This window comes from Homo sapiens, chromosome 10 (assembly GCF_000001405.40).
Source record: "Homo sapiens chromosome 10, GRCh38.p14 Primary Assembly".
Taxonomy (NCBI): Eukaryota; Metazoa; Chordata; class Mammalia; order Primates; family Hominidae; genus Homo; species Homo sapiens.
The window spans coordinates 115,243,531-115,269,657 of NC_000010.11; the positions used below are offsets into that span (position 1 = coordinate 115,243,531).

At 35.6% G+C, this 26,127-nt stretch overlaps 1 protein-coding gene across 11 annotated transcripts in view, besides 1 other annotated feature; it reads left to right on the forward strand.

Annotated features, from left to right (window-relative positions):
* The window catches only part of ATRNL1 (attractin like 1), an 855,635-nt gene that overhangs the window by 150,166 nt on the left and 679,342 nt on the right, over positions 1–26,127 (forward strand). For 10 of the 11 annotated variants that reach the window (NM_207303.4, XM_011539587.2, XM_011539588.3 and 7 more), the window contains 3 exons: positions 21,663–21,747; positions 23,267–23,475; positions 24,796–24,914. In NM_207303.4, the coding sequence (NP_997186.1) occupies positions 21,663–21,747; positions 23,267–23,475; positions 24,796–24,914 (413 nt within the window). Of the gene's footprint in view, positions 1–21,662; positions 21,748–23,266; positions 23,476–24,795; positions 24,915–26,127 lie in introns of those variants that run through there. The other variant, XM_017016040.2, reaches the window with a different exon arrangement.
* Positions 8,521–8,641: a silencer, noted in NCBI's record as "fragment chr10:117011521-117011641 (GRCh37/hg19 assembly coordinates)". NCBI's record gives its function as "represses an EF-1alpha promoter that drives an FKBP-Casp9 reporter gene in an ReSE screen in K562 erythroleukemia cells {active_cell/tissue: K562}" and the evidence as "EXISTENCE:reporter gene assay evidence [ECO:0000049][PMID:32094911]".

Genomic DNA, 26,127 nt, shown 5'->3' on the forward strand with positions numbered 1-26,127 from the left:
CCATGCAGGTAGTAGGCGGTAGATCTAACTTTTGTAACTCCTAAAACTTGTGGTAGTCTTTCTATTTGACTACATCATGCTGATTAGTTGGGCCCAGTGTATGTTCTTAATTATGGCAACAAATTACCTTATTCTTAGTAATGCTTGTTTCTTAATGCTGTAGAAATATAGAAGAAAATATGAGTTCCATTTTTTCAAGCAAGTTGTTCAGACTGGAGGAAGGAATAGCATATTTTAAACAGTTTTACATTTTAACAAAGGTTTTTTTTTATCCCCTGTGCTAACACTGACAACAAAAACATAAAGACAGTTCCACAATTCAACATAGGTTAAAACTGTTCGGCTTTATCTCATTTGATTATTTGTAGGTAGTTCTCAAAAATGTTCTCTAAAATAATCTGTTTTATCCTCCTGGGTTTGGAGTATGAAATGTTGGACTATTTTTCTGGGAAAAGGTATTTTTCATATTATTATTTATACTTCAACAAATGTCTTTCAAAATAATTGTTTTCCTCATGGAGTATGTTTTTGTGGAAATAGATATAAGCATTATATAGTAAACCAATTAGGAAACAGAAAAAGTGTCATGTTGCTAGTTTTTCTTTTCACTGTGGTACACCAGGACATTTTTGGTGCATTTATGGAAGGCACTTAAAAGCTTAGCTGATTGTTTTGTGTTATATGATATTTAAACAGGAATATTTGTACCATTTCTAATTTTTTATTGTTGCAAAATGTATTATTTGAACATTACTCTCACAGTAAATTTTATACAGTCAATATCGCTAATCTTTGGGTATATAACCTTGCCTTCACAGTTCCCATTCTATTATTGCATGATGGATGTAGAAGGCATATACTGGTGATTTTCAATCATGCTCATACCTTGGCATCCTCTTTGGAGGTTGGTTGGAAAAAAAAAATAACTTACGTAATCAGATTCTTTGAGATTGGATACTGGGCATCTATGTTTTTTAAAAGTGACTAAAGTGCAGCTGATAATACAGCTAGGGTGGTGAATAAGATAGGTTGAGTATAACACATAGCATGACACATTTCTTAATTTGACTGTAACATATGACATGACACATTTCTTAATGTTCTAGTTTGTAAATCTAGTTTGAGGTCAGATTTGAGAATCCAAAAACTTAATTTTTTTTTGTTATTGTTAGTGCTGTTATTATTACTTTCAGAAAGCCACTATGGCACCTTCTTCAAGGTTAACAAGAACTTTCTGGTAAAGATAACCTTCTATTTAGAATTCACACAGAATTCTGAAACAAGATGCAAAACAACTTATTGACTATGTTTTTTTCTTAATCAAAAAGATAATAGAGGATAACAGAAACATGAAAATGTAATTTCCTGAGTTAAATTATTTAAGAATGGGTAGGGAATAGGATTTGTATAAGAACTATATCTTGCAGAAAGCAGAACAGCTGAAATTTCAAATGAGATTTAACGAATAATCGAGTTTTCAAAATAAATTCCCTGAACATAGTGGTTTACTTATGACATTAATTTCTTTGTAGTGATTATTTAAAAACTAAATCAGTAAAAACTAAAAAGTAATTTTTTATTTGGGAAAGTAATATTTTAATGGTAGTATATAATAATGTATATTCTTAACCATTTTATAATACAGTGAAATTGCAGTTCTGTATACTCTTAAAAGATCACTTAACTGGCCGGGCACGGTGGCTGACTCCTGTAATCCCACCACTTTGGGAGCCTGAGGCAGGCTGATCACCTGAGGTCGAGAGTTTGAGACCAGCCTGACCAACATGGAGAAACCCCGTCTCTACTAAAAATACAAAAATTAGCTGGGTGTGGTGGTGCATGCCTGTAATCCTGGCTACTCAGGAGGCTGAGGCAGGAGAATCGCTTGTACCCTGGAGGTGGAGGTTTCAGTGAGCCGAGATTGCGCCATTGCACTCCAGCCTGCGCAACAAGACCGACACTCCGTCTCAAAAAAAAAAAAAAAAAAAAAAAATCACTTAACTAATTAATGAAGCCTGGGATACCTGATTTTGTCCAACTGTTTGGAGTGATATATATGTATACATATATAATAGATATAGTTTGGTAAGGCATATAATTTCATAGCAAAATCATATTCAAATTAAGACATCTAATTATTTAATTTTTTGGAATACTCATGCAAAGTTATGAAAATTCCAATCTGCTTGCTTTTCATGTTTATAATTATTTTTATTTTCTGGAGGTTATTTTATTAGTTCCTCTCTCTGTTTATCCGTATTTCTCTATGCACTTCGTTAAATTCTTAGGGCTCTTTCTTGATGAAAGTGGTACCACTTACCTGGCCATCTGAAAGAAACAATTTCTTTGTAGATCAGGAAAATCCTTAGAATCATCACACATTTCTTTCAATGAATTTAGCCAACTGTCGACTGTTTTAAGCTTCATTGTATCCTTTGCTCAAGGTGTTCTCTTTCTTTTTGTTGGGATTATATACAAGAAATAGTAGTTTAATCTTTTTTAAAAAGAGGCCACTAAATAAAAGAAAAAATAACCTTTTATTTTGAGGAAAGGATGAACTAACATTTATCTAATGTTTTCAACAGTGCTTGGCATGTCACACATGATTTATAATATAATTATTGTTACATCTGTGTAGTGTACATTAGTATATTTAATTTATAGAAGAAGACACTGTGATTTACCATGGTTAAACCCAAACTCACACAGGCTATAAGATGTTGTATTCAGAATTTAAAGTTAAGTCTACATTCAGAGTCCTTTTGATATTAACACTATACACCGTGATATTTATTTTTCCTGGTTTAACAGGAAAAAAAAGGAATTTTAGTTGGAAAGAACTTGTTAGTGTAGTGAGACATTCAAAAATAGTTTTTATCAATAGATTTAATCATATTTCTGAGAGGTATTTGAATTTCACTCTACCTGTCCCCCTCCCGAATAAGTTGATTGGAAAATAGTGACCTCAAGATAGAAAATCCAGGAGAAAGAAAAGGATAATGGATAATGAATCTCTCTCATTCTTTTTTTTTTTTTTTTTTGAGACGGAGTCTCGCTCTGTCGCCCAGGTCGGACTGCGGACTGCAGTAGCGCAATCTCGGCTCACTGCAAGCTCCACTTCCTGGGTTCACGCCATTCTCCTGCCTCAGCCTCCCGAGTAGCTGGGACTACAGGCGCCCGCCACCGCGCCCGGCTAATTTTTTGTATTTTTAGTAGAGACGGGGTTTCACCTTGTTAGCCAGGATGGTCTCGATCTCCTGACCTCATGATCCACCCGCCTCGGCCTCCCAAAGTGCTGGGATTACAGGCGTGAGCCACCGCGCCCGGCCATCTCTCTCATTCTTAACAAGTCTGTATCCATTTTGAGAGACTGTATTGAATACAAAAATTACTGAATAAAGATTAATGAAAAAAATGCTCTGAAAAAGCAGCCTCTTTAATAAATAGTTCTGGGAAAAGTTGACATTCATTTGCAGCAGTATGAAACTAGACCCTCCCCTCTAAACTAAAAATGGATCAAAACAATAAAACAACAGAAAACAGGAATAATCCTTCAAGACATGGGTCTGGAGAAGACTTTCTGCAAAAGGCCGCAACAGCACAGGCAACAAAAGCAAAAGTAAACAAATGGGATCATATAAAATAAAAAGCTTTTGCAAAGAAAAGGACAATCAACAGAATGAAAAGACAACCTCCAGAAGGGGAGAAAATATTTGCAAACTATTCATCTGATGGGGGATTAACATCCAGAATATACAAAGAACTAAAAAATTCTCAATGATAAAAAAAACCTCAACAAACAATCCATTTTGCAAATGTTTAACAAAAATAGGCAAATGATCTCAACAGATATTTCTCAAAAGAAGACATACAAATAACCAATAATATATGACAACATGTTCAACATCAGTATTCATCAGGGAAATACAAATCAAAACACAATGAAGTATCATCTCACGCCATTTAGGATATCTATTATCAAAAAGACAAAAAAATAACAAATGCTGGTGAGGATGTGGAACAATGGGGAAATGTTTTTGATGGAAATGTAAGCTAGTACAGCCACTATGGAGAATAGTATGGAGGTTCTTCAAAAACTACAAATAGAACTATTATACGATCCAGCAATACCACCACTGGATATTTATCCAAAGGAAAGAAAATCAGTATATTAAAGAGACACCTGCACCTCCAGGTTTATTGCAGTACTATTCACAACATCCAAGATATGGAACCACCTAGGTTTCCAACAAGGGATGAATGAATTTGAAAAATGTGGTATATATACATGCTGAAATACTATTCAGCCATAAAAAGAATGAAGACCTATCATTTGTGGCAACATGGATGGAACTGGAAGACATTATGTTAAGCGAAATAAGCCAGGAACAGAAAGTTAAACACTGTATGTTTTCACTCATATGTGGAAGCTAAAAAAAGTTCATCTCATAGAAGACAAAAATAGAACAGAGGATACTAGAGTCTGAGGAGGGTGGGGGAAGTGGTAGGTTACACAGAGAGATTTGTTAAAGAATACAAAATTACAGCTAGATAGGAGGAATACATTGTAGTGTTCTATACCAGTGTAAGATGACAATAGTTAACTATTATGTGTAGTTTCAAATATCTAGAATTAGGATATTGAATGTTTCTAACACAAAGAAATGATAAATGTTCGAGATGATTGATATGCCAGTTACCCTGATCTGATCACTATACATTATATGTATTGAAGCATCACTATATACTCCATTAATATGTACAATTATTTCTCAGTAAAAAATGTAAAAAAGGAAAAAAGTTTTAAAAAGTCTTAACTCTTGGGGGAAGAAGGCAGGACAAAGAAGTCATGAATGTAGAATAAAAATTTTAAAATAAAATATTAACACATAGGCTCCAACCATATTTCAAAAGTTTAATAAACTATGATCAAGTAGGATTCATTCTAGGAATTCAACTGTGATTCGTTATCTGGGAATCTATAAATATAATTTATTAGTTCAAAACTACCAAAGCAACAGGACATATCATTGTATGTTAAGACACTATAAAATAATTTCGCCTACTTTGCCTGGCAGACAGTAAAAAACTAAATAAATATTTATTTAATGAATGCCAGGGGACAATTCCTGAGAGAAGATACGGGTATGAATGAGTTTTTTTTTAAACTGAGAATGAGTTAACCTAGAGTAAATTGTGCTTATTTTAGAATATTAAAAGAAGTTTTGAAGTAGGGAGCCAAAAAACAAAACCCCAGTAAAGTACCATCATTTCAGGGGCAGGTGGGAAAAGATATTTGGCAACATCCAGAAATGTAATTTTCTATTACAGAAGTTTTGAAATGGCTAATATAGGTTTTTCTTTATATTCATCTTGTTGTGAGCCTTGTACATACAACCTATGTGTACTTTCTGTCTTATTTCAAATTTGCATTTAAGACTAACTTATGAATTGGCATTTTAAGTGAAACAGTAAAAGATTTTTATTTTTTTTTGAGTTGGAGTGCAATGGCATGACCTCGGCTCACTGCAACTTCTGCCTCCCAAGTTCAAGTGACTCTTCTGCCTCAGCCTCCCAAGTAGCTGAGATTACAGGCGCCTGCCACCATCTCCGGCTAATTTTTGTATTTTTTTTGTATTTTTCAGTAGAGACAGGATTTCATCATGTTGGCCAGGCTGGTCTTGAACTCCTGACCTCAGGTGATCTGCCTGCCTTGGCCTCCCAAAGTGCTGGGATTACATGCGTGAGCCACCGTGCCTGGCCAAAAGATTTTTTAAAGTGTCTTTACAGTAATACAGATATATATATACACACACACACACGTTTATATATATGTATATGTATATTGTGAAAAAACATGAGCATTTATGGAAAAATTAGCCAGTGAATTTACATTTTCCACTTGCATTTTTTAATGTATAATTGTTAAAATAAATCAGTCTGCCTTCAGCTTGAGTTTTTAATGTAATTATCTATCCCTCACGTGTAAATAGTTTTGATGGTATAGTACCGTTTGCTCAAATTTGGGTTTGAGAGAACAGTAACTCTAATTTTTTGATCTTATGTGTATTGAGTATATGGTTCATAATTAATATTTAGTACCTTAAATAATGAGTACATTATGTTATTTTATTTTTTATTTTTTTAAGCCTGTATTCCAGAGAGTGTATATTATCTTGGTCTTCATTCTTTTCATCGTGGCTGTTTTGTTGGTATAGAATATTATTTCTGTAATTTTCATGATGTCAGTAACTATGGAATTTGCTTTAATTTGTTTGGCCTTGAACTGTTTATGAAGTGATAATAACCTAAGTGCTCCAGAAATATATTTTCTTCTTGGCAAGAAATATAAATTATAGTCAGACAGATTAAAAATGTAGGAGACTTTTTAGTGTAAGAATTGGTTTAGACTACTTGTAAACACATTATATTTATTTAGTATTGAGCTTTAAGGCATTTGATTTATGCCCACATATCAAGCTGGCATATTTGTGTTTTCTTCCTCTTGTTATCTGGACAGCAGAGAATTCCCCATATGGCCATAGGGAGGGGTGTTGATGTAACAGTGGTGGATGACATAGGGATTTGAGCTACATACTTACACAGATTGCTTGTGCCCTGTGTTTCTGCTCATACTTGATCATGGGTACCACTTCCATTTTATATTCTTAGGGTTATTGGTAACAGAACTAGCTCATGATTGCAAACTCTCAACACATAGTCACTTGATTACCCATGGTCAAGCATTCTATTTTTATCTGGACCCAGTGGCATGGCAGTAATAGAGGTATATAACTTTCCACCACAGATGGTATGGCCTTTGACATGTGTGTGAAGCCTGCATTGTGATTCTTTCACTGGGGCTTGCCATAAATTCCACATACTACTTTTTCCAACAGTGACACTACCAATAACTATAGTATGTACTGGGTCATATGTGCCTAGCTGCAGAGTTGCATGCAGGGTAGACTTCACTGACAGCAGAGCTATTTCCTACCCTGGCTGGAAAGAGCTGGCAGCCTTTAATGTCTTCCAGTATATGGGCTGAAGCAGCATTCCTAGGAGTGGAATATGCTGCCTTTAGAACACAAAGAGGCCTACCAGATGGTTTGCTTTCTTCTTTGTAATGGGAGTTGCAAGATGCATAATTGGTCTTTTAATTCAGATGAGCTGTCTGAGAATGTTCTTGTCCACTGGACCCCTAAATATTTTACCAATATCAAAGTCTCTGAATCTTTGTAGGTTTTATTTTCCATCCTTTGAAGCATATGTCTTAAGAAGGTCTCTGTTGCATTATTCTTGCCCATCTGGCCCAATTAGCATAATGTTGTTAATGTAGTAGAACAATGTAATGTTCTGCAAGATGTCCAACAGGATCAAATGTATTCTGACTATGTATGACAAAAGAGGGCGGAATTAATATCATCCTAAGGCAAAAGTGTGAAGGTATACTAGTTTCCCCTCCATGTGAATGCAAACTATTTTTGATCCTCTTTTTTGATAGTTAGCAAAGAACACATTTGCCGACTCCATGGCCATGTTAATCTTCTCTAATAAAGATATACATCTTGCACGACACCTGCAATTTTAGTTCTACTTGGTAGTAGGTGTCTGCTATCCTTTAAGCTTTGTTTAGTTTGCCAAACTGATGATTTAAATGGAGATTTGATGGGGTCCATTATCCTGGCATTATTTAGATTCTTTAGGGTGATACTAATTGCTTCTACCCACTCTCTCTGGAATGTGATAGTATTTTAAAATTTATTGTATTATCCAGGGGATAAAAGCTCCCAGAGGCTTCCACTGTGAGAACCAAAGACCAAATGTGGTAGGTGTTGTGCCATTTGTTAAGCCTGTTTATTCCAATTCTATATCCAGCGACTGAAGACATGATCACTGGGTGAGTCTGTGACCCAGTGGACCCATTTTGAGCTGGACCTTGTCCAGCTGTTTTCCTATTGTCTCCCATCATTGGGCTAAGTTCTGTTACAGTTGCTCCTACTATCAGCTTTGGTCTATGGAGGAAAGCCACGAAATTCTTAGTGATGCTAGTGTCTCTCCCACCATCATATTCTTCATGGCTTTGGTAATTGGCATATCCTCTGGCCCTTTCCATAGATAAAATAGCCTGGTGGGTTTTCTGGCATCACATAGTGTATTGACTTCAGCATGTGCACATTTTTAGACTTTTAATCACTGCCTTTACTGTTTGCTATGGCAGTTCCGGCATTTTGACCTTACTTAGCATGGGTATACTTTTCATGTTTTACATGTTTCTAAGAGTCATCCAGATAGCAAGTGAACATCACCTCTTGTGGCATCCTTGTCAGAAAGGAAAATCCTGCATCTTGGCAGAAGGCTTTCAAATCAGTAAACTCTCCCTAATCCAATCATAAGGTTCTGGCCACCTTGATCAAGCTCCCCTCTGAACCTAGTACCACTTGTACTCTCCCACCTCCTGCCAACATGTGCTGTCTAGCTGTCTAGGTTTGTTGTTGTTGTTGTTGTTGTTTTGAGACAGAGCCTTGCTCTGATGTCCAGGCTGGAGTGCAGTGGTTCGATCTTGGCTCACTGCAACCTCTGTCTCCCGGGTTCAAGCAATTCTCCTGCCTCAGCCTCCTGAGTAGCTGGGACTACAGGCGCCCGCCACCACGCCCGGCTAATTTTTTGTACTTTTAGTAGAGACGGGGGTTTCACTATGTTGGCCAGGCTGGTCTCGAACTCTTGACCTTGTGATCTGCCCGCCTCGACCTCCCAAAGTGCTGGGATTACAGGCGTGAGCCACCGTGACCAGCGAAGGTCTTATAGATTCTTTGGTCGTATACTCTCTTTCTTTCCTTAGCAGTCCCAGCATGTACCTAGATGAGTTATGTTGATACCCAACCCAAGTTATAGGCCCTCTGGCCAGTACTGAAGATGTGAGCAGATTCTGCCCTGCGCCACAGGTCATGCTGGAGAGTAGCCTCTACATTGTGTTTAAGCAAAGGCAGAGTGCTATCTGTCTTTTAGGAAGGTAGGATGGATCATTTCTGCAGTGTCAGATGATTCAGGAAAATTTGGGAATTCAAAATTTGGGAAGACTTTAAGGAGCATCAACTTCTGATATTCCCATTTTGTGTGTCAGAGTCCTTTTTCTTCTGGGGCTTGACCTTCTTTAATTGACAGATCTTCTATAATTGGCAGTCTCGTTATATGGTACTGAGGAGACCCTCTGGCTTTATCAGCCTTTCATTATCTTTTTCTAGAGCTCACTGGGGCTAAGCAGTAGACATGCAATTCTAGTATCTTAATAGTTACCCTTCCTCATGTTTTTCAAGCATCTAGTACTTCACTCCTGCTATACTATTCCCTTCTATTGGCATGCCTTCCTACTTTATCACTAGTTTAAGTTTTTGCAGTTGCTTAATGGCCACTTTGTGCCAAGAGCTATCTGTGCTCCACCTACCACCAATGATGAGTTTTTCATTGCTAGCCTGGCAATGTATGATCCAGCTCTCAAACTCCAACTTATTTCTTACTTTAGTATACCATTCCTGAAACAAGTCAGAGTTTGAGTCCTCTGGAAAGCAGACTCTGAGGTAGAGTTTAGTATTCATGATGTTAATTGGGAGTACCCTTACAATCAATGCCTTTGCAAGAGGTAGGGGGATGATGCAGAATTGGACAAAGGGAGAAGTTGAGTTGTGATGCTCGATGGATAACCTTAGTCAACCCTGTAAGGATTGACTGAAGGCAAAATAATTGGTCATACTTCTCCAATGTTGGGCTGGAATGGCCAGGCCTTTATACCAATACATTGATCAGTCATTCAATATGGGTCATTCTAGGAAGGGTGTGCCCTTGAGTGAAGTGGGCCTGTGTTCCTCAGGCAGTTTGTGAGGTAGCTTGCAACTGACTCTTCACTGACAGCACTGCTAGCAACCCAGACAACAAGTTTTTTTTTGAATTATGATCTGGGCAGCATATATCCATGTCTACCAGAAATATCCAAACTTCAGATGATTGACACCAAATAAAAATTTATTTTTCACCCATTATACATGTTCATCATTGGTGGGCAGGGCAGATTTTTTTTATTATTATTATGCTTTAAGTTCTAGGGTACATGCGCATAATGTGCAGGTTTGATACATAGGTATACATGTGCCATGTCGGTTTGCTGCACCCATCAGCTCATCATTTACATTAGGTATTTCTCCTAACACCCATCAACTCATCATTTACATTAGGTATTTCTCCTAATGCTATCCATCCCCAGGCCCCCAACCCCACAACAGGCCCCATTGTGTGATGTTCCCCCTGTGTCCAAGTGATCTCATTGTTCAGTTCCCACCTATGAGTGAGAACATATGGTGTTTGGTTTTCTTTCCTTGTGATAGTTTGCTGAGAATGATGGTTTCCAGCTTCATCCATGTCCCTGCAAAGGACATGAACTCATCCTTTTTTATGGCTGCATAGTATTCCATGGTGCATATGTGCCACATTTTCTTAATCCAGTCTATCATTGATGGACATATGGGTTGGTTCCAAGCCTTTGCTATTGTGAATAGTACCGCAGTAAACATATGTGTGCATGTGTCTTTATAGTAGCATGATTTATAATCCTTTGGGTATATACCCAGTAATGGGATTGCTGGGTCAAATGGTAATTCTAGTTCTAAATCCTTGAGGAATCACCACACTGTCTTCCACAATGGTTGAACTAATTTACGCTTCCACCAACAGTGTAAAAACATTCCTATTTCTCCGCATCCTCTCCAACATCTGTTGTTTCCTGACTTTTTAATGATTGCCATTCTAACTGGTGTGAGATTGTATCTCACTGTGGTTTTGATTTGTATTTCTCTGATGACCAGTGATGATGAGCATTTTTTCATGTGTCTGTTGGCTGCATAAATGTCTTCTTTTGAGAAGTGTCTGTTCATGTCCTTTGCCCACTTTTTGATGGGGTTGTTTGTTTTTTTCTTGTAAATTTGTTTGAGTTCTTTGTAGATTCTGGATATTAGCCCTTTGTCAGATGGGTAGATTGCAAAAATTTTCTCCCATTCTGTAGGTTGCCTGTTCACTCTGATGGTAGTTTCTTTTGCTGTGCAGAAGCTCTTTAGTTTAATTAGATTCCATTTGTCAATTTTGGCTTTTGTTGCCATTGCTTTGGTGTTTTAGTCATGAAGTCCTTGCCCATGCCTATGTCCTGAATGGTATTGCCTAGGTTCTCTTCTAGGGTTTTTATGGTTTTAGGTCTAACATTTAAGTCTTTAATCCATCTTGAATTAATTTTTGTATAAGGTGTAAGGAAGGGATCCAGTTTCAGCTTTCTACATATGGCTAGCCAGTTTTCCCAGCACCATTTATTAAATAGGGAATCCTTTCCCCTTTTCTTGTTTTTGTCAGGTTTGTCAAAGATCAGATGTTTGTAGATGTGTAGTATTATTTCTGAGGGCTCTGTTCTGTTCCATTGGTCTATATCTCTGTTTTGGTACCAGTACCATGCTGTTTTGGTTACTGTAGCCTTGTAGTATAGTTTGAAGTCAGGTGGCATGATCCTCCAGCTTTGTTCTTTTGGCTTAGGATTTTCTTGGCAATGCGGACTCTTTTTTGGTTCCATATGAACTTTAAAGTAGTTTTTTCCAATTCTGTGAAGAAAGTCATTGGTAGCTTGATGGGGATGGCATTGAATCTATAAATTACCTTTGGCAGTATGGCCATTTTCACGATACTGATTCTTCCTATCCATGAACATGGAATATTCTTCCATTTGTTTGTGTCCTCTTTTATTTCGTTGAGCTGTGGTTTGTAGTTCTCCTTGAAGAGAACTCCTTCACATCCCTTGTAAGTTGGCTTCCTAGGTATTTTATTCTCTTTGTGGCAATGGCGAATGGGAGTTCACTCATGATTTGACTCTCTGTTTGTCTGTTAATGGTGTATAGGAATGTTTGTGATTTTTGCACATTGATTTTGTATCCTGAGACTTTGCTAAAGTTGTTTATCAGCTTAAGGAGATTTTGGGCTGAGATGATGGGGTTTTCTAAATATGCAATCATGTCATCTGCAAACAGGGACAATTTGACTTCCTCATTTCCTAATTGAATACCCTTTATTTCTTTCTCTTGCTTGATTGCCCTGGCCAGAACTTGCAACACTATGTTGAAGAGGAGTGGTGAGAGAGGGCATCCCTGTCTTGTGCCAGTTTTCAAAGGGAATGCTTCCAGGTTTTGCCCATTCAGTATGATACTGGCTGTGGGTTTTTCATAAATAGCTCTTATTATTTTGAGATACCTTCCATCAATACCTAATTTATTGAGAGTTTTTAGCCTGAAGGGCTGTTGAATTTTGTCGAAGGCCTTTTTGGCATCTACTGAGATAATCATATGATTTTGTCATTGGTTCTGTTTATGTTATGGATTATGTTTATTGATTTGCATACGTTGAACCAGCCTTGCATCCCAGGGATAAAGCTGACTTGATCGTGGTGGATAAGCTTTTTGATGTGCTGATGGATTTGGTTTGCCAGTATTTTATTGAGGATTTTCACATCGATGTTCATCAGGGATATTGGTCTAAAATTCTCTTTTTTTGTTGTGTCTCTACCAGGCTTTGGTATCAGGATGATGCTGGCCTCATAAAATGAGTTAGGGAGGATTCCCTCTTTTTCTATTGATTGGGATAGTTTCAGAAGGAATGGTACCAGCTCCTCTTTGTACCTCTGGTAGAATTCAGCTGTGAATCCATCTGGTCCTGGACTTTTTTTGTTTGGTAGGCTATTAATTATTGCCTCAATTTCAGAGCCTGTTATTGGTCTATTCAGAGATTCAACTTCTTCCTGGTTTAGTCTCGGGAGGGTGTATGTGTCCAGGAATTTATCCATTTCTTTTAGATTTTCTAGTTTATTTGCATAGAGGTGTTTATAGTATTCTCTGATGGTAGTTTGTATTTCTTTGGGATCTGTGGTGATATCCCCTTTATCATTTTTATTGCATGTATTTGATTCTTCTCTCTTTTCTTCTTTATTAGTCTTGCTAGCGGTCTATCAATTTTGTTAATCTTTTCAAAAAACCAGCTCTGGGATTCATTGAGTTTTTGAAGGGTTATTTGTGTCTCTGTCTCTTTCACTTCTGCTCTGATCTTAGTTATTTCTTGCCTTCCGCTAGCTTTTTGAATGTGTTTGCTCTTGCTTCTCTAGTTCTCTTATTTGTGATGTTGGGTGTCGATTTTAGATCTTTCCTGCCTTCTCTTGTGGGCATTTAGTGCTATAAATTTCCCTCTACACACTGCTTTGAATGTGTCCCAGAGATTCTGGTATATTGTGTCTTTGTTCTTATTGGTTTCAAAGAACATCTTTCTGCCTTCATTTAGTTATTTACCTGGTAGTCATTCAGGAGCAAGTTCAGTTTCCATATAGTTGTGCGGTTTTGAGTGAGTTTCTTAATCTTGAGTTCTAATTTGATTGCTCTGTGTTCTGAGAGACAGTTTTTTTGTGATTTCTGTTCTTTTACATTTGCTGAGTACTGCTTTATTTCTAATTATGTGGTCAACTTTAGAATAAGTGCGATGTGGTGCTGAGAAGAATGTATATTCTGTTGATTTGGGGTGGAGAGTTCTGTAGATGTCTTTTAGGTTTGCTTGTTGCAGAGCTGAGTTCAAGTCCTGGATATCCTTGTTAACCTCTCTCATTGATCTCTCTAATGTTGACAGTGGGGTTTTAAAGTCTCCCATTATTATTGTGTGGGAGTCTAAGTCTCTTTGTAGGTCTCCAAGGGCTTGCTTTATCAGTCTGGGTGCTCCTGTATTGGGTGCATATATATTTATCATAGTTAGCTCTTCTTGTTAAATTGATCCCTTTACCATTATGTATTGGCCTTCTTTGTCTCTTTTGATCTTTGTTGGTTTAAAGTCTGTTTTATCAGAGACTAGGATTGCAATCCCTACTTTTTTTTGCTTTCCATTTGCTTGGTAGATCTTCCTCCATCCCTTTATTTTGAGCCTATGTGCATCTTTGCACGTGAGATGTGTCTCCTGAATACAGCACACTGATGGATCTTGACTTTGTCTTTTAATTGGGGCATTTAGCCCATTTCCATTTAAGGTTAATATTGTTATGTGTGAATTTGATCCTGTCATTATGATGTTCGCTGGTTATTTTGCCTGTTAATTGATGCAGTTTCTTTGTAGCATCTATGGTCTTTGTAATTTAGCATGTTTTTGCAATGGCTAGTCCCGTTTGTTTCTTTCCATGTTTAGTGCTTCCTTCAGGAGCTCTTGTAAGGCAGGCCTGATGGTGACAAAATCTCTCAGCATTTGCTTGTCTGTAAAGGATTTTATTTCTCCTTCACTTATGAAGGTTAGTTTGGCTGGATATGAAATTCTGGGTTGAAAATTCTTTTCTTTAAGAATGTTGAATTTTGGCCCTTAGTCTCTTCTGGCTTGTAGGGTTTCTGCCGAGAGATCTGCTGTTCGTTTGATGGGCTTCCCTTTGTGGGTAACTTGACCTTTCTCTCTGGCTGTCCTTAACACTTTTTCCATCATCTCAACCTTGGTGAATCCAACAATTATGTGTCTTGGGGTTGCTCTTCTTGAGGAGTATCTTTGTGGTGTTCTCTGTATTTCCTGAATCTGAATGTTGGCCTGCCTTGCTAGGTTGGAAAAGTTCTCCTGGATAATATCCTGCAGAGTGTTTTCCAACTTGGTTCCATTCTCCCCATCACTTTCAGGTACACCAATCAATCAAATGTAGATTTGGTCTTTTCACATAGTCCCATATTTCTTGGAGGCTTTGTTCATTTCTTTTTAGTCTGTTTTTTCTTACTTTTTCTTCTCGCTTTATTTCATTAATTTGATCTTCAGTCACTGATACCCTTTCTTCTACTTGATTGAATCAGCTATTGAAACTTGTGCATGCGTCATGAAGTTCTCCTGTCATGGTTTTCAGCTCCATCAGGTCATTTAAGGTCTTCTCTACACTGTTTATCCTAGTTAGCCATTCGTCTAATCTTTTTTTCAAGGTTTTTAGCTTCCTTGCAATGGGTTCGAACATCCTCCTTTAGCTCAGAGAATTTTGTTATTACCTACCTTCTGAAGCCTACTTCTGTTAACTTGTCAAAGTCATTCTCCATCCAGCTTTGTTCCATTGCTGGTGAGGAGCTGTGATCCTTTGGAGGAGAAGAGGCACTCCAATTTTTAGAATTTTCACCTTTTCTGCTCTGGTTTCTCCCCATCTTTGTGGTTTTATCTACCTTTGGTCTTTGATTTTGGTGACCTACAGATGGGGTTTTGGTCTAGATGACCTTTTGTTGATGTTGCTGCTATTCTTTTCTGTTTGTTAGTTTTTCTTCTAACAGTCAGGTCCCTCAGCTGCAAGTCTGTTGGAGTTTGCTGGAGGTTCACTCCGGACCCTGTTTGCCTGGGTATCACCAGCGGAGGCTGCAGAACAGCAAGTATTACTGCCTGATCCTCCCTCTGGAAGCTTCATCCCAACGGGGCAGCCACCTGTATGAGGTGTCGGTCAGCCCCTACTGAGAGGTTTCTGCCAGTTAGGCTACACGGGGGTCAGGGACCCACTTGAGGAGGCAGTCTGTTTGTTCTCAGAGCTCAAACGCCATGCTGGGAGAACCACTGCCCTCTTCAGAGCTGTCAGACAGGGACTTTTAAGTCTGCAGAAGTTGTCTGCTGCCTTTTGTTTAGCTATGCCCTGGCCACAGAGGTGGAGTCTAGAGACGGTAGGCCTTGGTGAGCTGTGGTAGGCTCCGTCCAGTTTAAGCTTCCTGGCCGCTTTGTTTACCTAGTCAAGCCTCAGCAATGGCGGATGCACCCCCCAGCCAGGCCGCTGCCTCGCAGTTCAATCTCAGACTGCCGTGCTAGCAGTGAGCAAGGCTCTGTGGGTGTGGTACCTACCAAGCCAGGCACTGGAGAGAATCTCCTTGTCTGCTGATTGCTAAAACTTTGGGAAAAGCGCAGTATTTGGGTGGGAGTGTCCCGTTTTTCCAGGTAGTCTGTCACAGCTTCCCTTGGCTAGGAAAGGGAAATCCCCCAACCCCTTGTGCTTCCCGGGTGAGGTGATGCCCCACCCTGCTTCGGCTCGCCCTCTGTGGGCTGCATCCACTATCCAACTAGTCCCAATGAGATGAACCAGGTACCTCAGTTGGAAATGCAGAAATCACCCATCCTCTGCGTCGATCACACTGGGAGCTGCAGACTGGAGCTGTTCCTATTCGGCCATCTTGGAACGCCTCTCCAGATTTTTTTTTGTCATTATTTAGGGACCCAGGCTGACAGAAGACATAGGCTTTCATTGCTAATCAAATGCCTCCAACCAGAAACACAGATATTCCAGTAGCTTGCATTACATTGATACATTCAACTTCTAGGGATTGTAAGAGTATAATTTTGTGCCAGAAGGAAAGGAACTGAAATATTTTATTGAACAGCACAAATGTCTATCAAAAGTATTGTATGTAATTCTTTTTTAAACTTTTAGTATAATTGAAGATGATGTCTTGGAGATAGTAATAAAGCTGTCACTTCCTACCGCTACATGTATTGAAAGGCAAATAACTTCTAGAAGTAGAATTATGTTTTATTATTATTTGCCTAAATTAATTGCCTTCATGTATAATTACATTACTATTACTGTACTGTAATGTTTCTCTTCTGCAGGACTTGTGTACTTTAAAAACAAAACAAAAGAAAACCAGAACATGACTGAGAGCATAAGCACTATTTTGTAAACAGTGGGATTAAATGAAAGTATACATACTTAAGAGTGAAACCCTCTAGCTACCCTTTATCCACTTAGGGTCTTCCTAAAATGCTGTTAGTCCGATTTATGGTTTCCAGGCAGGAGACTGGAAAATTATCTGAAGAAATCTGACCAGCCTAAGAGAAAGCATGTAGAGATACTGACATTTGGAGGTCTCTAACTGAAATGGTTCCACCTGATCAGAATCCCAGAGGTCAACATGTCCTTCTTAAGCACTAAATTCCTAATGACTCTGGTGGTGCCTCACTCTTAAATTTGCAGCCTGTTATTATTTTGACAATTACAAAAAGTTACTAAATTTGATCAAAATGTCAAACGAGTAGGAAAAAATAAGAAATTAGGGGAAATAAAGATAATCCACAGAGGAGATTATAAGTTAAATCTTTATGGACAGAAGATGTTACATTTGTGAAGCAAAATGTGAGATTTTAATAAAAATAGTTAATTCAGAAAAGAAAAAAATGAGCTCTTGGAAATTAAAATTAGGAAAACAAATCAATGATTTGAAGATAAAGTGAAGAATCTCCATAAAGTATTATGAATAATGGACAAATGGAAAATAGGGTAAAAAATGAGAAATTTAATATGACTGTTCCAGAAAACTTTGTATCTCAGTAATAGAATTGAAAAAGCAAAGAACATAACATTTTAGACAGGAAGGAAATTATCAAGTGAGTAATTCAAAAATATGTTTGGGATTGAAGTACACAAATTTTAAGACTAAAAGAGCCTACTGAGCCCCAGAAAAATAAATACAAAAGACTCACAGCAAAGCTCATTACAAAAAGACAAAAAGAACCTAAAAACTTATATAGAGAGAAAAGAAATAGGACAAATAAATCATGAGACTTGATAGCATAGTGCCTTACAAAAGCAATACGAGAAGCCAGAAGAGTGGACTAATACCTTCAATATCTGAAAATGCTTTCCATGTTAGAATTCTAACACCAATCAAATCATACTAAAAGTGTTAGAGTGAAATAAAATTATTTTTTAGAATTGCAGATTCTCAAAAATATACCTCCAATGTACACTTTATTTAGATACTTTAGGATTATATCTCCTATTGAAGTATGAGATTAAATAAACAGATGAAATCTAAGAAATGGAATATATAACAGGGGAGAAATATGGAGGGAATCCTTATGATGATGTAATAGGCCTAGAGAGCAGTAAGTTCAGATTGGAGAAGAAAGATGGAGTTTCAGGAGGGATGTCTTTACAAAGTAAATGAAATTGCCAGATATCTTGATGTATTAGAAGATATTGAGAAGAAATGTACACATCTGGCAAAGGGTTGGGGGAGAAATAGCAGTAGATATACAGAAAGGTAAGCAAAAAAGTGAAAATATAATTTGTGGAGAAAGTAAGTTATTTAAGAATAAAAATGTAGTATGCTACCTGGCTTATCTGTGAATAATATCACAGATATATACTATCAAAGATAATAAAAACTGAACATTAGCTGAGTGTGGTGGTGTGCACCTATAATTCCAGAAACTCTGGAGGCTGAGGCAGGAGGATTGCTTGAGCCCAGGAATTAATTTAGTCCAGCCTAGGCAATACAGCCTAGGCAATATAGCAATTCCCCATCTCTAAAAAACAAATAAGAAACTGAATATTGCTCTAAACAAAATTATAATATAAATGTATAGAGAATGGAGGGAGAGGAAATATGCGTGTGTAAGTCTGTGTAAGAGCTTAATCTTCACCATCTGAAGAAGGAAGTCAGGCATATTATCTGAAACTGGGAACTAGGCATGCTGTTTAGAACAGATGAAAATACAAGAAACAAAAACAAAAACAAACTCTTTATAGCTGTTTATTTAGAATTAAAAGTGCTTACCTCCATGATTCTGGAATATGCTTTGGGAAGATAGGGGGCAGTGGATTTTTTTTTTTTTTGATAAACCTTGTAGAAATATTGGACTTTTGGGCCTCACACATGTATATATTTAAAAATGATAAAATAAAAGCAAAGTATAACAGTACAGAAATTAAATGATGCACAAGTTAGTGGATCAAGGATAAATGTTCAAAAATTGGGAAAATTAGTGCATTGACATATACTTGGAAATATCTGGAAAATATGATATATGGGAAAAATTAAGTTTGATGCTTACCAGATATACAAAAATAAGTTGCAAAAAGATTGAAGACCAAAATAGTAAAAGCCAACAGAAAAACCTTTACTGGAAAATTAGAGATTATTTTTAAAATCTCAGTTTACTGAGTAAACAAGCACAGATCATAAGGTGACCTAAAGGTAAGACCAACTTTCTGTAAAACAAGGTTTCATAAACTAAGTGAAAAAAAGATGCTGTAGCATGGAAGAATATATGGTAATACATATAGCCAGCAAAGGATTAGTATCCAGAATATTTAATCAAGAATCCTTTAAATTATTAAGAAAAAGACAAAAAGCAAATAGAAAAATGTGCAAGTCTTAAACAGTGATTTCATAGAAGACTAAAACAAATAACCTATACATGTGAAAATAAGTTGACTCACCAGTAACTGGAAAAATGTAAAATCAAACCATTCATCAGATTGGTAAAAATTTTAAGTCTGATAGAACTACATGTTGTAGAGAATATAAAACAAGAGGAACTGTTGTACACTGCTAATGTGAGTCAACACAACTACTTTGGGGAGCAAATTGGGAAAATCTAGTAAAATCGAAGTTGTGTCTTTTCTTATACCTCTTGGAAATCTAGAGAAACATTCAAAATATGCACAAGATACATATAAGAGTGAATATACCAACATGACTTGTAATAGGAAAAAAATCTTTAAAAAGGCTAATTATTAACAGCTTAATGGGTAAATATTTTGTGTAGTCATAACATGGAAAACTCTAACATGGTTACAATGAGCACACAGTACCACTTGTATCTATAAATTTAAATGAGCTGTTGAATTGACATTTCTCCAAAGATATACAAATGTCCAATAAGCACATGAAAAGATGCTCAACATCACTAATCATTAGGGAATGCAAGTCAAAACCACAATGATATACTAATTCATACTCATTAGGATGGCTATGATAAAAAAACAGAAGATAACAAGGGTTGACGAGGATGTGGAGACATATGAACCCTTTTGCATTACTGGTAAAAATGTAAAATGGTCCAGCTACTATGGAAAACAGAATGGCAGTTTCTTAAAAAATTGAACACAGAATTACTATATGATCTGTTAATCAAATGGACCTCATACAAGTTATTTACCTTCATGTAGGTCTGATTCTTCATTTCTAACATAGGGTAATACCTGCTCCATCAATTTCACTGGATTCTTATAAAGACCATTTTAAGATATGCGATGAAAACACTTTGGAACTTTTATGTGTACTTAATTTATAAAAGTATACAGTTTATACTTTATATAATTTCTTTTGCACCAACCTAATAGTGCTACAAACATATAATGTACATTTATTAAATTAACTCTAACATGTAAAATTGGCAGTCTTAATCTTTATCATAGGCCTCCATAATAATATTTTCTAAAATGTGATCTTCAGAGCATTGACTCTTGAGGATCTTAATAGGCATTATGTGAAAAGTGCTTCTTTGGATAAAACATTGGGAAAACACTGTGTTAAATAAAGTTAGGTTAGGTTTCTGTACCTTTACACTCTCTCTTTTGAGAATATTTAATAGGCAGATATACCATGTGGACTAAAAAGACAGATTATACACTTTTTCGGGGGAGATTTGTGTTTCCTGGATTATACTTTAGCATATACAGGTCAACATATATTTTATTGTTCTCAGTCTTTCAGCATCATTCTCTTTTTTTTTTTAATTATACTTTAAGTTCTAGGGTTCATGTGCACAACGTGCACGTTTGTTACGTATGTATACATGTGCCATGTTGGTGTTCAGCATCATTTTCTAAACTTACAGTTTTGGTTTTTATAATTTTTTGATGTTCATTAATAAAATATTGAGTTGAAACCAAATTTATTTTATTATTGTTATAGATGTAATTACTTAAATAAGAAAACAAGTAATTCATTACTTTAACTTTTACAACTAACTGTACTTAAGATTATTTTCTTGTTCCATAAAGGCTTTTACCTAAACAAAATTAATTTGTTTTAAAAAATCTTGTATCTATATGCTTTCATGAAATACCAAAGCATGCCTTTATAAATATGACATTTCTAAGAAGTTGAAATCTAAAACACTGTATTGAGAATGTTCCTAGTCACTGAATGATGAATTATTTTAAATCTCAAATTTACGTTAGTATATATGTCAGTTCTGAGTTTATATTGAAATAATACACATTTTTCTTAACCACTTTCCATAGTTTCTATATAGTTCATAGATTATTTATGATTTTCATTTTTTATCTAGAAGTTTTGCAGTTAAAATAATTCCCTTCTATATAAAAAAGCTTTTTTGAGAATTCAAATCATTAAAGTGATTTAAATGTTTTATCCTGATGATTATATTTTTAGGTATTCTTTCAGTGAACATTGTATCTGCCATTGACTTTTGTATGCATACATGTCATATTTGATTTAGTATTTAACTTTCAAAGAGGTGTGCCCTATACTGACATTCATAAGTTTTACTTGGAATATTTAATAAATATATGTCTTCGAAATTATCTTCCAATATAAAATACCTCTAAGTTCATTCTTTTCATTTTCTTGTTCTCATATGCTTAAAATTATTTGTGAGAATTCTAGGCAAGAGTTATTTTTATTTAATGAATAATGTTAGTTGAGTAAATACACTAAATTGTAGGTCATGGAAAATTAATGAGAATTTTTTTTTTGCTTCCTGCTTATGCATAGTGTATCTTTAATTCGGCCAATGATGTTTTCATATTATTTGTCTTAGTTTATTCTTTTATTTCATTTTTTGTTTTTCTGTTTTCTTTTTTCTAGCTTGTGATGAATGGAAAATACTACCAAAACCAAATCTTCATAGAGATGTCAACAGATTTGGACACTCTGCAGTAGTCATTAACGGGTAAAAGAAGCACATTTCCAATTTTTAGAGGGTCACTTATATCAGTCATACTATCCTCATATTCTGGTATTCTTTTTGAAAATTATCATTGGTACTTAATGGTATTGGATTTTATGCATCTCTTCTCTACCATAGAATGCATTTTGATTTGTCAATCATATCTTTTTTTCCTTTCTTGTTTAATATATTTAAGGGACATGGGAGTAGGTAAAGGAAAGGTGCTGAGATAAGACATCAGATACCCTTTTATGTCATCCTGCCTTCTTTTCTTTTTCCAGAGATCAGATAAGGAATGACTCTTCTTTTAAAAAGATGGAACTGAAATGATAGAGAGGCTAGCCCCATATTTCTATCAAGGAGAACAAGGAAAGTGAGAAGAATTAGATTCTCATTTTAGTTCTGTCATTTACTAAATGTGTGATTTTTGACAAGTCTCTTAACCTCTCTGGACCTTAAAATCATTATATCCATTGAGAAATTGGACTCAATGGTCATTACATTGCCTTCCCCATTTAAGTTAATATAATTTTTGTATTTCTATGGCAAAAATTTGGTAATTTGGAATCCAGTGACAGTAAACAATCTGCTAGCTCATTTAGTGGCTTAACATTTGTAAATCAGAATGACCTTTTTATAAGCCCATTTTATTACCACCTTATCCTAAATATGTAAAAATTCTCCACTATTGCCACAAAATGACTTAACCACAATGAAACTGTGTAACTGATATCAAGTGGCTGTCCAAACAGTAATACATGAAAACTGTGAAACATAAAACCTCCAGGGTTCTCTGGTTGATTTTTATTTTACTTTTTTAAAATAATAAAAGACATTCTTGAAGACTTTTTTGACTGATTCAATTTATTATGTTAATAATATTTTTGACATGAAAAATATGCTGTTTTAAGGGCATTGGCACTGCTTGGTATTAATTTAGTATTGTCTAGGCTTCTCTTTCCAGACTGAATTTAAAAAATCTTTTTGATTATTTTACTCTTAGTTTTCTTATTTTAAAAGAATGAAACACCATAAGAAGAACTCGGTATCTAATTTCAAAATTCTGTGTCTATATTGAAAAGTTATAATTCTAGATAGCAGTTCTAAAGTGTGTCTTGTCCATGTATAGCTATTATCTATTTTTTTAAAACATTGTTTTCTATATTATTAAAAAAATACTTATTTTTCTGACAAAGGAATATTGTATATAATCATTGTTTCTTTTCCTTTCTTGTATTAACAATAAAACATGTTTTGAAGACTTAGTGTTTTCTTAATATATTAAGATTTATAGAATATTTCATATTTTGTCTGGAAAGTCTTCAAGAAATTATATAGTAGTTCCTCTGGTGTTTTTATATCATATTGTATGCTAGAAATATGATTTTAAAGAACAGTACTAACAGAAGTACTTAAAATAGTATAAAATGTATATTTAAATCTATGCTTATTTTTATAACTAAATCAGTAGATAGGGACTTTTAATAGCGTTTCTTTAAGATTCTTGTTTTGTTTTTAATAGGTCCATGTATATATTTGGGGGATTTTCTAGTGTACTCCTTAATGATATCCTTGTATACAAGCCTCCAAATTGCAAGGCTTTCAGAGATGAAGAACTTTGTAAAAATGCTGGTCCAGGGATAAAATGTGTTTGGAATAAAAATCACTGTGAATCTTGGGAATCTGGGAATACTAATAATATTCTTAGAGCAAAGTGCCCTCCTAAAACAGGTAAATTTCTTTTTCTTTTCGTCTTTGTGGCAGCAAAATTTCTCTTCTACAGAAGTAGAAATATCTTCTGCTTATAAGAATTACTTTAGTAGCTACAGAAATGAAAAATTTGTATTACCCTAATTAGGAATTCTAATGTTTGAACCTAGTGATTAATAATTTAATACATTTATTAGCTATTTTTAGCTTTATTTTTGAAATCTGTATATATAGTATATATATCAATATTTTATATATAACATTGTCATATATATGAATTATTTTCTAATATAAGTTTAAAATGCTTTCCAGTACATCATTTCTAAGAAGTGCTGTTAGATTCAAAGAAATAAAATGAAATAATTTATTTTCCATGTGGTATTTTTTTTTCTTCCTGAATTATTGCCAAACCACACCATAAAGTAAAAAAATGTTACAGCATTTCATGACTAATGATCTGGTTTTATATTTCTTATAAAATGGTGAATAAATAAATGAGACTTATGAAAAGTTACCAGTCAATTATTAATCAGTTAGCTAATTAATTATTTGGATAAATATTGTTTAGTTTTTTAAGTGCTGAGAGTTTTTATACATTTTTGCGGTTACAATTAATAAATGTATTTTTAAGTTTTACTAATCTATATTAATTCAGATGTCTTTTATATCTTTAGAAAGGATGATAAACAGTATTTGTTATGATGTTTTCTTTTGTATGTATAGTAATACACTTTGTTCAGTAAAATATATGTAAATCCTTTGACTTTCTCTAAAATACGTAAATTTATTTATTTTAGTTTATTTTTTGAGACAGAGTCTCACTCTGTCACCCAGGCTGGAGTGCAGTGGTGTGATCAAACTCTGTCTCCTGGTTTCAAGCAATTCTGCTGCCTTAGCTTTCCGAGTAGCTGGAATTACAGGCATGTGCCACTATGCCTGGCTAATTTTTGTATTTTTAGTAGAGATGGGTTTTGTGATGTTGGCCAGGCTTGTCTTGAACTCCTGACCTCAAGTGATCCGTCTACCTTGGCTTTTAAAAGTTCTGGGATTGCAGGCATGAGCTACCGTGCCTGGCCCAAAATGTGTGAATTTAAAATGTCTGTAGGATCCTTGTATATTGAATAATTAAAATGGGGGTAAAAGGTCTCGAAAATCCTGTAAACACAATTGAACTACAAAAGTTGTCTTAATCTTTAGAAAACTTACTTTGAAATTGAAGGTCATTTCTTTGGTTAAAAAATGTCTTAGTGATTCTTAATGATTCTTAAATAGATATTGTAAATTAAGAAGAGTAAGATTTTCTTTTCCGTGCTGATATATCGTCCCCCATTTGTATTATAGCTGCTTCTGATGACAGATGTTACAGATATGCAGATTGTGCCAGCTGTACTGCCAATACAAATGGGTGCCAATGGTGTGATGACAAGAAATGCATTTCGGCAAATAGTAACTGCAGTATGGTTAGTATTTATGGGTAAATGGTGCTGTAGTTACAACAGACTGCTGCTTTATGATCATTAGCTTACCATTTAGTAGCACTGTAGAAAAAAAGCACTTTACACATTAAGACATTTAGAAAGTATATAGGGAATCATTCACTTCTTGGCAAATTGTGAAGTTAGATTGGTTTGTTGTTCAAATTTGTCAGTCTAGATTCCATTTTGGATCCATCAACTTTACTTCTTTTCATGGATGAGACTGGGAACATTTTTTCAAAACTGATATTGAAAAAGACTATAGCTATAAATGTTGTCTTCTGTTCCTATGAAAATAAGATTATATAGGTAGGTATTGAAATAATTACCATTGGATTCCTGTCAGACATGCATTAGTGGTCGTGTGGTCTAGTGCTTTGTTTTCACACTTTGTGTGTAAGTTTAACCTGAGTTTTTGGTAGTTGTAGTTTCTCTTTTAACTGTCTATACATTAGTGGTTCTCAAGTTGAGGCAATTTTGTCTCACAGGGGACATTTTGCAGAGACATTTTGGTTGTCACAAATGTGGAGCTGCTATTGGCATCTAATAGGTAGAAGCAAGGGAGCTGCTAAACATTCTACAGTTTGATAAGATTTTTTAACGTCCTTTTTCATCTAAAGTAGAGTTTTAGCACTATTGACATTTTGAGCCCTATAATTATTTGTTTATTTGTTTATTTGTTGTGGGAGGGCTGTTCTATATATTGCAGAATAAAAAAACATAAAATATTTATGGCAGATGAAAATGGGTTAAGAGAAGCAAAAATTAAGATTTTAAGTGGTAGCATCTAAACATTCTATGTTATGTAGAAGATATCAACAAATTGAAGGGAAAAATTTTAAAAAGTAGTATTTAGTAGAATTAAAGATTTTTTTGTTTTGTTTTGTTTTTTTGAGACAGAGTCTCACTCCATCACCCAGGCTGGAATGCAGTGGCATGATCTCGGTTCACTGCAACCTCCACCTCCTGGGTTCAAGTGATTCTTCTGCCTCAGCCTCCTGAGTAGCTGGGATTATAGGCAGGCACCACCATGCCTAGCTAATTTTTATATTTTAGTAGAGACAGGGTTTCACCATGTTGGCCAGGCTGGTCTTGAACTCCTGGCCTCAAGTGATGTGCCCACCTCAGCCTCCCAAAGTGCTGGGATTACAGGCATGAGGCACTGCACCCAGCCCAAAGATTCTTTCATGGGCCTATA